We start from the raw sequence: 15,738 nt of genomic DNA on the forward strand, positions 1-15,738 counted from the left end.
AGGAGCCGATGCGATCAACTGGAAGAAAGGGTATCAGTGATGGAAGATGAAATGAATGAAATGAAGTGAGAAGGGAAGTTTAGAGAAAAAAGAATAAAAAGAAATGAGCAAAGCCTCCAAGAGATATGGGACTATGTGAAAAGACCAAATCTACGTCTGATTGGTGTACCTGAAAGTGATGGGGAGAATGGAACCAAGTTGGAAAACACTCTGCAGGATATTATCCAGGAGAACTTCCCCAATCTAGCAAGGCAGGCCAACGTTCAGATTCAGGAAATACAGAGAACGCCACAAAGATACTCCTCGAGAAGAGCAACTCCAGGACACATAATTGTCAGATTCACCAAAGTTGAAATGAAGGAAAAAATGTTAAGGGCAGCCAGAGAGAAAGGTCGGGTTACCCTAAAAGGGAAGCCCATCAGACTAACAGCAGATCTCTTGGCAGAAACCCTACAAGCCAGAAGAGAGTGGGGGCCAATATTCAACATTCTTAAAGACAAGAATTTTCAACCCAGAATTTCATATCCAGCCAAACTAAGCTTCATAAGTGAAGGAGAAATAAAATACTTTACAGACAAGCAAATGCTGAGAGATTTTGTCACCACCAGGCCTGCCCTAAAAGAGCTCCTGAAGGAAGCGCTAAACATGGAAACGAACAACCGGTACCAGCCACTGCAAAATCATGCCAAAATGTAAAGACCATCGAGACTAGGAAGAAACTGCATCAACTAACAAGCAAGATAACCAGCTAACATCATAATGACAGGATCAAATTCACACATAACAATATTAACTTTCAATGTAAATGGACTAAATGCTTCAATTAAAAGACACAGACTGGCAAATTGGATAAAGAGTCAAGACCCATCAGTGTGCTGTATTCAGGAAACCCATCTCACGTGCAGAGACACACATAGGCTCAAAATCAAAGGATAGAGGAAGATCTACCAAGCAAATGAAAACAAAAAAAGGCAGGGGTTGCAATCCTAGCCTCTGATAAAACAGACTTTAAACCAACAAAGATCAAAAGAGACAAAGAAGGCCATTACATAATGGTAAAGGGATCAATTCAACAAGAAGAGCTAACTATCCTAAATATATATGCACCCAATACAGGAGCATCCAGATTCATAAAGCAAGTCCTGAGTGACCTACAAAGAGACTTAGACTCCCACACATTAATAATGGGAGACTTTAACACCCCACTGTCAACATTAGACAGATCAACAAGACAGAAAGTCAACAAGGATAACCAGGAATTGAACTCAGCTCTGCACCAAGCGGACCTAATAGACATCTACGGAACTCTCCACCCCAAATCAACAGAATATACATTTTTTTCAGCACCACACCACACCTATTCCAAAATTGACCACATTCTTGGAAGTAAAGCTCTCCTCAGCAAATGTAAAAGAACAGAAATTGTAACAAACTATCTCTCAGACCACAGTGCAATCAAACTAGAACTCAGGATTAAGAATCTCACTCAAAACCGCTCAACTACATGGAAACTGACCAACCTGCTCCTGAATGACTACTGGGTACATAATGAAATGAAGGCAGAAATAAAGATGTTCTATGAAACCAATGAGAACAAAGACACAACATACCAGAATCTCTGGGACGCACTCAAAGCAGTGTGTAGAGGGAAATTTATAGCACTAAATGCCCACAAGAGAAAGCAGGAAAGATCCAAAATTGACACCCTAACATCACAATTAAAAGAACTAGAAAAGCAAGAGCAAACACATTCAAAAGCTAGCAGAAGGCAAGAAATAACTAAAATCAGAGCAGAACTAAAGGAAATAGAGACACAAAAAAACCCTTCAAAAAATTAATGAATCCAGGAGCTGGTTTTTTGAAAGGATCAACAAAATTGATAGACCGCTAGCAAGACTAATAAAGAAAAAAAGAGAGAAGAATCTAATAGACGCAATAAAAAATGATAAAGGGGATATCACCACCGATCCCACAGAAATACAAACTACCATCAGAGAATCCTACAAACACCTCTATGCAAATAAACTAGAAAGTCTAGAAGAAATGGATAAATTCTTCAACACATACACTCTCCCAAGACTAAACCAGGAAGAAGTTGAATCTCTGAATAGACCAATAACAGGATCTGAAATTGTGGCAATAATCAATAGCTTACCAACCAAAAAGAGTCCAGGACCAGATGGATTCACAGCCAAATTCTACCAGAGGTACAAGGAGGAACTGGTACCATTCCTTCTGAAACTATTCCAATCAATAGAAAAAGAGGGAATCCTCCCTAACTCATTTTATGAGGGCAGCATCATTCTGATACCAAAGCCAGGAAGAGACACAACAAAAAAGGAGAATTTTAGACCAATATCCTTGATGAACATTGATGCAAAAATCCTCAATAAAATACTGGCAAACCGAATCCAGCAGCACATCAAAAAGCTTATCCACCATGATCAAGTGGGCTTCATCCCTGGGATGCAAGGCTGGTTCAATATACGCAAATCAATAAATGTAATCCAGCATATAAACAGAGCCAAAGACAAAAACCACATGATTATCTCAATAGATGCAGAAAAAGCCTTTGACAAAATTCAACAACCCTTCATGCTAAAAACTCTCAATAAATTAGGTATTGATGGGACGTATTTCAAAATAATAAGAGCTATCTATGACAAACCCACAGCCAATATCATACTGAATGGGCAAAAACTGGAAGCATTCCCTTTGAAAACTGGCACAAGACAGGGATGCCCTCTCTCACCACTCCTATTCAACATAGTGTTGGAAGTTCTGGCCAGGGCAATTAGGCAGGAGAAGGAAATAAAGGGTATTCAATTAGGAAAAGAGGAAGTCAAATTGTCCCTGTTTGCAGACGACATGATTGTATATCTAGAAAACCCCATTGTCTCAGCCCAAAATCTCCTTAAGCTGATAAGCAACTTCAGCAAAGTCTCAGGATACAAAATCAATGTACAAAAATCACAAGCATTCTTATACACCAACAACAGACAAACAGAGAGCCAAATCATGAGTGAACTCCCATTCACAATTGCTTCAAAGAGAATCAAATACCTAGGAATCCAACTTACAAGGGACGTGAAGGACCTCTTCAAGGAGAACTACAAACCACTGCTCAAGGAAATAAAAGAGGATACAAACAAATGGAAGAACATTCCATGCTCATGGGTAGGAAGAATCAATATCGTGAAAATGGCCATACTGCCCAAGGTAATTTACAGATTCAATGCCATCCCCATCAAGCTACCAATGCCTTTCTTCACAGAATTGGAAAAAACTACTTTAAAGTTCATATGGAAGCAAAAAAGAGCCCGCATCGCCAAGTCAATCCTAAGCCAAAAGAACAAAGCTGGAGGCATCACACTACCTGACTCCAAACTATACTACAAGGCTACAGTAACCAAAACAGCATGGTACTGGTACCAAAACAGAGATATAGATCAATGGAACGGAACACAGCCCTCAGAAATAACGCCGCATATCTACAACTATCTGATCTTTGACAAACCTGAGAAAAACAAGCAATGGGGAAAGGATTCCCTATTTAATAAATGGTGCTGGAAAAACTGGCTAGCCATATGTAGAAAGCTGAAACTGGATCCCTTCCTTACACCTTATACAAAAATCAATTCAAGATGGATTAAAGACTTAAACGTTAGACCTAAAACCATAAAAACCCTAGAAGAAAACCTAGGCATTACCATTCAGGACATAGGCATGGGCAAGGACTTCATGTCTAAAACACCAAAAGCAATGGCAACAAAAGCCAAAATTGACAAATGGGATCTAATTAAACTAAAGAGCTTCTGCACAGCAAAAGAAACTACCATCAGAGTGAAGAGGCAACCTACAGAATGGGAGAAAATTTTCACAACCTACTCATCTGACAAAGGGCTAATATCCAGAATCTACAATGAACTCAAACAAATTTACAAGAAAAAAACAAACAACCCCATCAAAAAGTGGCCGAAGGACATGAACAGACACTTCTCAAAAGAAGACATTTATGCAGCCAAAAAACACATGAAAAAATGCTCATCATCACTGGCCATCAGAGAAATAAATGCAAATCAAAACCACAATGAGATACCATCTCACACCAGTTAGAATGGCAATCATTAAAAAGTCAGGAAACAACAGGTGCTGGAGAGGATGTGGAGAAATAGGAACACTTTTACACTGTTGGTGGGACTGTAAACTAGTTCAACCATTGTGGAAGTCAGTGTGGCGATTCCTCAGGGATCTAGAACTGGAAATACCATTTGACCCAGCCATCCCATTACTGGGTATGTACCCAAAGGACTATAAATCATGCTGCTATAAAGACACATGCACACGTATGTTTATTGCGGCATTATTCACAATAGCAAAGACTTGGAACCAACCCAAATGTCCAACAATGATAGACTGGATTAAGAAAATGTGGCACATATACACCATGGAATACTATGCAGCCATAAAAAATGATGAGTTTATGTCCTTTGTAGGGACATGGATGAAATTGGAAATCATCATTCTCAGTAAACTATCGCAAGAACAAAAAACCAGACACCACATATTCTCACTCATAGGTGGGAATTGAACAATGAGATCACATGGACACAGGAAGGGGAATATCACACTCTGGGGACTGTTGTGGGGTGGGGGGAGGGGAGAGGGATAGCACTGGGAGATATACCTAATGCTAGATGACAAGTTAGTGGGTGCAGCGCACCAGCATGGCACATGTATACATATGTAACTAACCTGCACAATGTGCACATGTACCCTAAAACTTAAAGTATAGTAATAAAAAAAAAAATCAAGTAAAAATTTAGGTGTGACAAATATAATAGTTAAGATAATGGTGATAACTAGTAGAAAAGATTTAGCTGAGGAATAAGTTCGTGAACTAAGAGATCAGCTTGAGGAATTTTACTTAGCAGAAAATTATTTTAAAAATAGAAAATGTAAAAGTCAAGATATAAAAGGCAAAAGCAGTCCTAGAAAGAAAAAAAATAGTTGTAAATGGAGAGAAGGAAATATTTGAAGGAATAATGGAGATAATTCCTCCAGAATTAACAAAACATAAAAGACCTCAAGTTGAAAAGACCCACAGAGAGCAAGAACGAGAAGAGATAAGGAGAAACATACTCCCAGATATAAATTTTGCTGAAATTTAACAATATCAGAGACAACGGAAAATTGTAAATGCTTGCAAACAGAGAGAGCAAATCACCTTCAAAGAAAAAAGAATAATGATATCAGATTTTTCAGCAGCAAGCAAGAATGCAAGAAGATAATAGAGAAGTGTTATCAAAATTTTGAAAGTACAGAATTTCATATCCAGCTACACCTTCGTTCAAATGTGAAGGCATGATAAAAAAAAAACACCCAAGATGTACAGTCTCATTTCATGCCCAAAGATGTATGTGTAAAGCATTTTTCAATGACATATATAAAGTAGAAACAAATTGAAGGAACAATACAAGAGATATGTGAAATAAAGGTGACCAAATATCTTTGTGAAGTTTGGGATTGTCTTAAAAAATAGCTGAGACCAAAGAAAAGAGAAAGAGAAAGCATATCTACAAAAACAAAGAATTAAAAGTCTAGATGAACTCAACATGATAGAGCTAGAGGAGGCTGAGGATCATTAGAGTTTATTAAAGTCCTTATATGAGAGAAAACAAAGACAACTTTTAAAAAATAAACAAAGCAATAAAAATCACTGAAAAGTGTGACAGATTGAAATAACAAATGAACAGAGTAAAAGTCCTAAATATGAATAACTACTATTACTGTAAATGAGCTAACTCACCAAATAAAAAATAAAATTCAAATATTACCATTCACTACACATATTCTAAAGCAAAATACATGCAAAGGATGAATGTAAAATGATAGGAAATTATTAATCAGGAAAATAGAATAAAATTAAACTGATATTGATAGAGTATTATCAGATAATATGAAGATCACAAACTTTATACCAAAATCAGCAAAGAGCTATAAAAAAAGTTAATGCAGCTATGCCACTTATTACTATAGATGTAAAAATTTTAAAGAAAGTTTCAGTGAATCAAATCCAATCATGCATGTTAAAGGTCATATATCTCATTGAGCTTACTCAGTGGTAGATGAAGATAATATTAGAAAATCCATAAAAATAATTCACCATTAAACTAAATATTGTCAGTAAAATAAGAAAAGAAAAGAAAAGGGAATTAGAGGCTTAAAGATTGGTGAGGAGGAAATAAAATTGCCATTATTTACAGATGATAGAATTTTTTTCTTAGAAAACTCAAAATAATCCACCAGTAAAGTATTAAAAGTAACAGTAGTTAAGCAAGGTGACTGGATATAAGATTAATTTATGTAAGTCAATTGTATTTGCAATTGTATCCTTCCTATATTAGCAATAAACAACCAGAAGACATCATTTTGAAAGAAGACATCTTTTGCAGAAGTATACAAAAATATCCAACTAAATCTTCAATCAAATGGGAAGGCATGATAAAAAATACTCAGATATATAGTCTTACTCCTCAAGTGTTGTCTTCCCTTCTACATTGTGGTGCTTCTTGGGGTGAAACTGAATGTCTGAGCTGTTTGCCAAGGCCCATCCACTCCAACTTCTGTACCTGAAGCACCTCATGCTGCTGACATCTCAGCTTAGCTCTTTGGTCTCTTAGTTGCTGTTTTTCTGTATCTGATGGGTTCATCTGTGCATATGTACATTAGGAGTCAGGCAGTGACTCAAAGGAAAGTTTCCAGCCAATTTTTGGGTCTCTTGCTGTGCTTCTCTTCTCTTCAGGACTTTCCCCTTGAAGATTCAGCTACCTTGGCAACCCCAAATACTGGCCTCTGGTCCTCAGCCCAGTAAGAACACTTCCTTCTTCTTGGGCCCCAATCCCCTCCACCATGGTTTCAAATGTGTAAGCAAGGAAAAAGCTGCATGGAGATCACCGTGTGTGCCTCCCTTATTCAGTGATAGTAACGCCTTCACTCTTGCCTGATTTGGTTTCTCCCCATGCTTTCAAAGACTTTGACCAATTTTAATAATTGTTTTTGGTGAGAAGGTTAGTCATAGCTGGAACTGGAAGTGCTGTAAAACCACTAAGAAAAAACAGCTTAATTATTATCTCGTGAAATTGAACATTTATGGACTCCATGACCTTGGAATTTTATTTCTCTGACTATGCTTAAAAGAAATATTTGTGTACATATACTAGAAAATATAAATAAGGATGTTCATAGCAGTACTATGCGTATTAATGAACCTAACAAAAATCCCATCAACAGGAGAGGTGACACATAAGTTATGGTACATTCACACAGAGGAGTATAACAGCAGTAAAAATTAAATGAACTACAACAACAAGCAACGCTATGGATGAGTCTTCATAATATAATTTTAGTTAAAAAGTGAAAATATAAAAATTAATTGTGCATGATGCCCTTTTCAGAAATGTTAAGAACAACATTAATAAAATATACTTTTAAAATAATACACATAGATGGGATAAAACTATGCAAAAATTAAAGTAAGGGAATAATGAGTAAAAGATTCATGATTGTGGGTACTTTGGTGGGAGTGATGGGGGTGGAGTAGGAGAAAACCACATGGGAAGATGTGGTCAAGTTATCAAATTGGAAACTTCAGGTGCTGAGGCCTAGAAGGGGAGATTTATCTGGGCATTAGAGCTGAGTCATGCCATTTTAGTGGTCATTTGCCCTATTAACTCTAGAGGCCTACCTAGTTCCTTATTGGTACCAAACCTGTTGTAAAGATCATGGGCAAAGACCCTACATTTCCCTACTCAGACACCTTGACCTTAACCAGAGGCAGGCATTTACTTCTCTACACCAGTATGATCCCAACCAGTCTCCTTCCCTCAAGCCTCACTCTCCTGTACAAATTCTCCTCCATTCTGTCTCCAAAGTATTACTGCTAAAATGCATAGCAGACCAGATTACTTTTCCTACATCATTAACTCTAGAATCAAGTCTTTAGCTGGGTGTTGTAGGACCTCTGTGATCTATCCCCAGCAAATATGACTAGCTCTGCATTGCTCACCAGTCCCTGAATGCATTCTACACTTTCCCATTGCCATGCCTTTGCTTATGCTGTTCAGTGTACCTCAAATGCCCTTATCTCTATCTATTGACATTTTACTCATTTTCAAGTCTCAGTTCACCTACTGCCCATTTCCATGAAGACCTGAGAAGAGACAACAGGGAAGAGGGAGGTGGCTGTCCAAATGCTCATTAATAAATGTAGCTTCAACACAAACAAGGTTTAGACACGTGGAAGCCAAGCCAGTGACAAAGCCTGAAAATCACATCTGAATTGCAAACTCAGGCCTGGTTCCAGTGACTCCCTGCCCACTCCATGTGACAGTGAGACTGACCTAGATGGACCTGAAAGTGATCTCTTTTTCAGCCTTCTAGAGGTGGTTTATAGGCAGCAAGAAGTGTAAAGAGAGATTGGGCTTGGGAGTTAGACCAAGCTTGGTCAAATACTAAATCCACTTTTTGAAATGTATCACACCTATGGGAATTTAAACATTAACACTCTGAAAAGTGAGATAACAATTTAAATAGTGCACAGGATTCTGCCCATCATTTCATTCAGTTAGCAGATGTACCCCAGGGAGCATGGGATGATGCACAAGGACCTGTTGCTTATGCGGAACCACAAGCACTATACCAACAAATGGAAGGATTTCCAAGGTAATTTTGAGTATAAACAATGTTTGCTTTACTCATCGACTTTGAAATCCTAACACCTGGGTGAAATGCTACTCGACTATATTAGTTACATGACTTCAAGAAAGTCTCTCAACCTCTCTCAGCCTCGATTTCTCCATTCTTTTTTTTTTTTGGAAATGGGAGTCTCACTCTGTCACCCAGGCTGGAGTGCAGTGGCGGGATCTCGGCTCACTGCAACCTCCGCCTCCTGGGCTCAAGCAATTCTCCTGCCTCAGCTTCCTGAGTAGCTGGGACTACAGGCGCCCGCCACCACGCCCAGCTAATTTTTTAATAGAGACAGGGTTTCACTGTGTTAGCCGGGATGGTCTCAATCTCCTGACCTCGTGATCCGCCTGCCTCGGCCTTCCATTTAAAGTGTGACAGATTGTATTTTCCAAAGATGGCCACAAAATCTCCTCTACTCCATAAGCTCTCTTCCCATCAAAGCGTGAAATCTATGTCCTTTGCCTAGAATATGGGTGAGCCTGTGATTTGCATATAACCAATATAGTACAGCAAAAGGAATGACATGTGACCTCAGAGATAGGTTGCAAAAGGTGACTCAACTTCCACCTTTTCTGGGGGGTGAGGGACATTTGCTTTTGGAGGGCTGAGATTCTGTGTAAACAATATGATCATCCTGAGGCCACCACGCTATTAAGAAGCCCAGGCAACAGAGAGAGACCACATGTAGGTGCTTCAGTCCAAGCAGACAGACAGCACAAACTGCCAGACATGACTAAAGATGCTTCCAGACAATTCCAGTCCCTAGCTGTTGAGCCCCCAACATTTGCATCTTCCAGCTAAGGCCCTAGACATCATGAAGGTGTCCTTTTTGTGATCTTTTTGAATATCTGACCCACAGAATCCATGCTCATAATGAAATTGTTGTTTTATGCCACAAAGTCTCAGTATAGTTTTTATTTATTTATTTGTTTGTTTTATTTATTTATTCATTTATTGAGACAGAGTCTCACTCTGTCACCCAGGCTGAAGTGCAGTAGTGTGATCTCAGCTCACTGCAAACTCCGCTTCCCGGGTTCAAGCAATTCTCCTGCCTCAGCCTCCCAAGTAGCTGGGATTACAGGTGCCTGCCACCACACTCAACTAATTTTTTTGTATTTTTAGTAGAGACGGGGTTTTGCCATGTTGGCCCAGCTGGTCTTGAACTCCTGACCTCAGGTGATCCACCCACCTCGGCCTCTCAAAGTGCTGGGATTACAGATGTGAGCCACCAAGCCTGGCCTCAGCATAGTTTTTAAAGTGGCAGTAGGAACTGAATCAAGGGTCTTCTGAGGACTGAAGAAAATAATGTACTTTGTGTACCTGGCACAATGCTTGTGCTCAAAAAACGGTGACTGGTACCAGTATTGTGTCCGATGCCTGGCCTGGCAGCCTTGGGTCAGCTGCTTTATTTTTCCAGGCCTAAGGTTTCTCTGTAGTAGTAGCTGCCTGAGTAACTCAAAGGTTTGTTGTGAGGCTCAAATAAGATGATAAATGTGGAAGTGCTTTGGAAACCGTAATGCTCTGTACATATCAAAGAGGTTATTATACTTCTATTATATCAATCCACTATGGGTTCAGATAGGAGAACACTCTAGTAATCCTTTAGTGGCAGTTAGTGTCTGAAATCCTGAGACCAAAGGACTTTGACCTGAGGCTCCACATTTGTTCTCTTTTAGAGATAATTAATTTCAACCATTCATCAAATAAGCCTATATTAAGCACTCACTGCAAGCAGAAAACTGTTAAATGCTGTGTGTTTTCTGAAACAAAAAAAAAAATTAGGGTACTTAGCCCAGTCCTCCAAAAATATCCCATTATAGTTAAGAAGACGCGAAATGGATGTAATCCTAGTAGGGCGGAGGCTTTCTGCAGGAGTGTGTTTCAGGAGCTGCTTAAAAGGAGAAAGGGAGGAGAAAGATAACTAATGTGGTTTGAAAAACTTCAGTGTGCCAAGCACCATGCCAAACTCTTTACATATAATTGTCTCCTTCAGTCCTCACAATGACATTGTGAGATGGCTTATGTGTTAACTGCCTTTGCAAATGATAAAACAGATGGTTGGAAAAATTGTATTACGGCAGCGTTAGCACTGAAATCCCGGTCTGGAGATACTCTACCATCCTGCTACCCCTGAACATATTTTTCTGCCCAAAATAATTATTTCTCCACCTAGACTACCAAAAAAAAAATCTGTTCAAATATTTGCCTGTTAGATAATAACATTCCTGTTCAGTGAGTTTTCTTCTGAAATTTCATGTTAAAATAATTAATAATAATATTGTATTTGCACAGAACTTCAGTGTTTTAAAAGCATAGTATGTCCACATCTTTTCCTTCCTTGGTTCTCCAACAGCCCTATGGGCAAGGCACCATGTTATACCCAACGTGTCACAGATAATAAATGGGCAAAGGATTGTGCTTTAGTTTGCTGCTACATTGTAAAAGGAATAGTGCTTCCTTAATGGTATGTATTTTGTCTCTTATTGAGAATCACATGACTTTAAATATTGCTGAAAATTTTATAAAGGCTTGTCGTCATGTTTAGGATGTCTTACTCATCATCGCGGCCTCCTCTCATCATTCCGTTTCTCATGACAAAATATACATTTACATTGTAAACAACGATGGATACAAATCCGTTTTCAAAATATCTTCTGGACAGGTTATTTTGTCCTTTGTTGACTTCCTGTCAGCTCAGGTTAGATGATAATTGCTTTTATCTTGTCACATGGCTGGCAGAGTTTTTACCAGGAGTAGAAAGGGTTAACTCTGCCATTTCCTTGTTGTCTGGTTGTGTTTGCAACGTAAGTATTATCTTCAATCTACTGTTTGCAGAGGTTTTCTTTTTCTTCTTTTTTTTGAGACAGAGTGTCCCTGTGTCTCCCAGGCTGGAGTGCAGTGGCGCGATCTCAGCTCACTGCAAGCTCCGCCTCCCGGGTTCACACCATTCTCCTGCCTCAGCCTCCCGAGTAGCTAGGACTACAGGTATTCGCCACCACGACTGGCTAATTTTTTTTTTTTTGGATTTTTAGTAGAGACGGAGTTTCACCATGTTAGCCAGGATGGTCTCGATCTCCTGACCTTGTGATCCACCTGCCTCGGCCTCCCAAAGTGCTGGGATTACAGGCGTGAGCCACCGCGCCGGGCCTGCTTGCAGAGGTTTTTTAAGGCAGAAATCATTTTAACTCACTGAAGTCCATTTTGAAAGATTAGGTTAATGGAAACTGGATAACATCATCCATAGATCCGCTTGATGGGGCTCTTGTAAACTGATGAATGTGACGATACACTGAGAGTTCAAGAAAAAATAAATGTAGATTGCCACATGGTTCAACTCCTCTTCTCAGGTGAGAGGTATTTCTCAGGTGTCATAAAGCATGCAATTGTCAAATGCACATACAAACAGCAATATAGGCAGTAGTGCCCGTGCACTTATTAAACATTCATTCAGTTGTCTTTCTTTTCTAAATTTAAAATATAAACAATTCTTGGTGGTTATGTAATTCTACACATGCAAAAAAGTTGCATAGAAGCACACACACACAAATAAGTGCATATAAATACGGGAAATACAAACAGACTCTGGCTTGTACTGATGTCCATTTCCTTGTTTTAACAAGACTGCAGTTATGCAAGATGCTACCACAGAGGAAAAGTAGGTGAAGGGTGCAGTGAGACCTCTCCATTTTCTTTCGGCAGCTTCTTGTGAAGTCTATAATCATTTCAAAAATTACATAAATAGAAGTTCTAACATCCTGGCATCCCAGTAGATTCGCTGCACCTCCAGGAGACTGCACCCTGTTGGAGCCATGGCCTTGGTTCACCGTGAGACCTGGAGGGAGGCATTTCCACTCTTGAGGCTAATTTCCCTCATCTGTAAAATGCACAGTTTGGCCCAAAGCTCCACTCAGCTCTAAAATTCTAGGATTGTATATGCACAGTTTGGTGTAGGGAGGTGTAAATCTCACTCAGATTATGAGCCAGCTCTAGGTGGTGAAGGGAAATGTGCTCAGCTGTTTGATATAAAGTCTGCTTTCCTGGAAAATGAACTTGGAGCCATTTACCTCTTCCCATTGGCTCCTTCAAAGGGTTTTCTGACTAAGGAAACACAGAAAGTTTGAAAATATTTTCATCAAATACCTTGAAAACAGCATCACCAAAACCAAATAAAAGGAAAAGGTAACATTACTTGCTGAAGATGATGACCTCTCTACTGAACCTTCAGAGTTGATTTAGAGCACATGGAAGCTATTCTCTGCTTCCCTGACCTGTTTAGGCTGCTCAAAATGCTAGGTGCAGAGGAAAACACCCTTTTGGCAGCCAAGATGGAAGAGATATAAGTGGATTTGTAGTAAGAGTCTGGGCCTGCAGAAATTTGTGTCACCCTGACACTGAAGAGGGAAAGTTGATTGTTCTCCAATGCACAGCAATTAAAAGCTCATCTCTGGAGAAAGTCGGGAGGCAGGGGTTACATATATATATATATGTATTTTCACATCTGCAGACAATTTTTTAACCCTGGTAACTGATTGATTGGGATAATGTATTTACCTTGGATATGGAAAGCAGGAAGAACAGTTCTTGCGTGACTTTCAAGGTAGTCTATACCTTCAAGTGTTTTCAGCTATGTATCTTCTTTTGATCTTCTCTATTTTCTTGGATTTATCCTACAAAAATAACCACATGTTAATGAAAAGATAAATATATAAGTTTGCTTACTGCCACAGTGTTTGAACTTTAAAAGTCTGGAAACAATTTAAATGTCCAACAATAGAGGACTAGCGAAATTATGCCAGTGGTTTTAAACTTGACTAATGAATCAATAAAATAAGAAGAAATGACATAAGATTGACATCTTTAATTTTGTGTAATAAACATTTAAAAATACTAGTAAATAAAAATACTATTGTCCCATCAAATAAAGGATATTTTGACACCGAAAGTAAAGGGAATCCCATCACAATAAAAGGCCTCACCAGAGAAAAGATCATTGGCAAACCATGCCAACATATGAGAGTAGAGCAAGAGGGTCCTTAATGCAAAAAATGGCAAAATCTGAATAGAGTGTATAGATTAACATTAATATTGTATCAATGTTAACTTCATAATTTTGCTAATTATACTGTGGTCGTGTTAAAAGAATATCCTTGTTTTTAGGAAATACACCCTGAAGTATTTAGGAGTAAAAGGATATCATGTCTACAGCATACTCACAGACAGTTCAGAGAAAAAAAAAAAACCCTTCTATATATTTGTAGAAAAAGAACGATAAAGCAAGTGTGGTAAAAATGTTAACATTAGGGGAATATGGGGGAAGAGTATATGGAATTCATTGTACTATTTTTGCAACTCTTCTGCAAGTTTAAAATTATTTCATTATACAAAGCTAAAAATGTATATATTAAATTTTTATTTAAAATGCAGAAAAATACACTAATAAGTGTGGTGGAATGTTATAATGGTGGCGTTTTTCTTGGTATGAATTTGTTGTGCAACACCATGTCGTGTGCCACATCCAACTACTTCTGGCTCTTTTTTAAATTCACAAACTCAATTCCAAAGAAATATGTTAAAGAAATGGAAGTAACATGTGAGACTATATCACTTGATATGTAGATACTTGGCACTAAAAGTGAAGCAAGGAAGACCCCTGCCTGCTCTGCCTTTTCACCCAAGAACCTGGAGTAGGGATGGCTATGGCAAGCCTGCTGTCTGCCTCACGGTAGCAGGAGGCTTGCGGCTCAGAGTCCAGTCATGCAGAGGGCCAAATCCCCGTCTCCCAACACAGAGCGGGAATTTACCCCAGACAGGGACCACCTGCTATTTGATAGCTCATGAAATAGAGCACACACATACAATGGAACACTATTGTATTTACTTCTGGCATGCGGTCTTGGAAGTTACTTACGACAATACCTCTTTGCCCTCTCCTATCCTGTAGGGCATATCCAGATTAATCTCTCCAAAACATTTTCTGGCCCTTACTTACAAAACTTTTTTTTAAAAAAAAGACTCCTAAGCCTAACATCTAATGTCTTGCAGAATCTGGACCCACTTCTTTTCCCGAATTATTTGTCTCCTCCTATTCCCTGATTGAAGCTCCATTCCAAACATGGTATGTTAGCATACCTGGACAGAGCATGCATGTTTCACCTCAGAAGATTGCTTGTGCTCTGTCCTGTGCCTGGCATGCTCTTCTTGCTATTTTTTTCCAAATAGCAAATTCTTACCAATTTTCATCTTCAGGGCAGTATATGTAGGACACAGATTAGAACCCAAAAGAGACTAGATTCATATTGAAAAACCCATGGTTTGTGGATTTCTCTGCATTTTCGTGGATAATTTACAGACTCCAAAGAATGAAGAGCGATTGATGGAATTGTAAGCAGTCTGATTGGAATATAGATATATTTAGGGGTAGAAATCATCATTCCATACCATCATGCCTGGTAAATTTTATTAACATCAAGGCCACCCCACCCTTCTCTAATCCTACTTGTGGTCAACAATATCATTGGAATGGAATTTAAAGAATCAGCTCTTTCTACGAGATAATCCAAATTGCCCAATACAGAATTTTGAGACCGGTAAATTTAGTTCTCAGTTCTCCTCAACTGTTTCCCTTTCATTTCCTTCTTGGTTCATCCATAATGAAATAACATGTCAAGAGATGTACATTCTGGACACCAGGGCAAATAAAGACATTATTTTGTAGGTGGTGAAGCACCTCTTGGAAAAGGAAAGCAACTGCTCAAAGCCTCATGGTAATAGTGTTTGGTCTGTAAAAGCTCCTGAAGGATTATGTTTATTTTGCTCAATAAATATTGAATGAATAAATAGAGGCTGAGCTGGATCTAGAATAAGTTTCTTTTCCCCTCACCCTTGGTCCTACTCTCTTGCCAAGAGACTGCACTCTCTTTGGCCTTGTATTAGTGTGTATGCATCTGTGTCCTCTATTTTACTCTAACTTCTGGGAGAAGGAATCATGTT

At 38.8% G+C, this 15,738-nt stretch overlaps 1 long non-coding RNA gene across 1 annotated transcript in view; it reads right to left on the reverse strand.

The window, feature by feature from the left end:
- Positions 1–15,738, reverse strand: part of LOC105374264 (uncharacterized) — a 59,909-nt gene that overhangs the window by 32,914 nt on the left and 11,257 nt on the right. The window contains exon 2 of the long non-coding RNA XR_924813.3: positions 13,300–13,415. This is a non-coding gene — a long non-coding RNA (uncharacterized LOC105374264). The remainder of the gene's footprint in view (positions 1–13,299; positions 13,416–15,738) is intronic.

Source organism: Homo sapiens, chromosome 3 (genome assembly GCF_000001405.40).
Source record: "Homo sapiens chromosome 3, GRCh38.p14 Primary Assembly".
In the NCBI taxonomy this organism is placed as follows: Eukaryota; Metazoa; Chordata; class Mammalia; order Primates; family Hominidae; genus Homo; species Homo sapiens.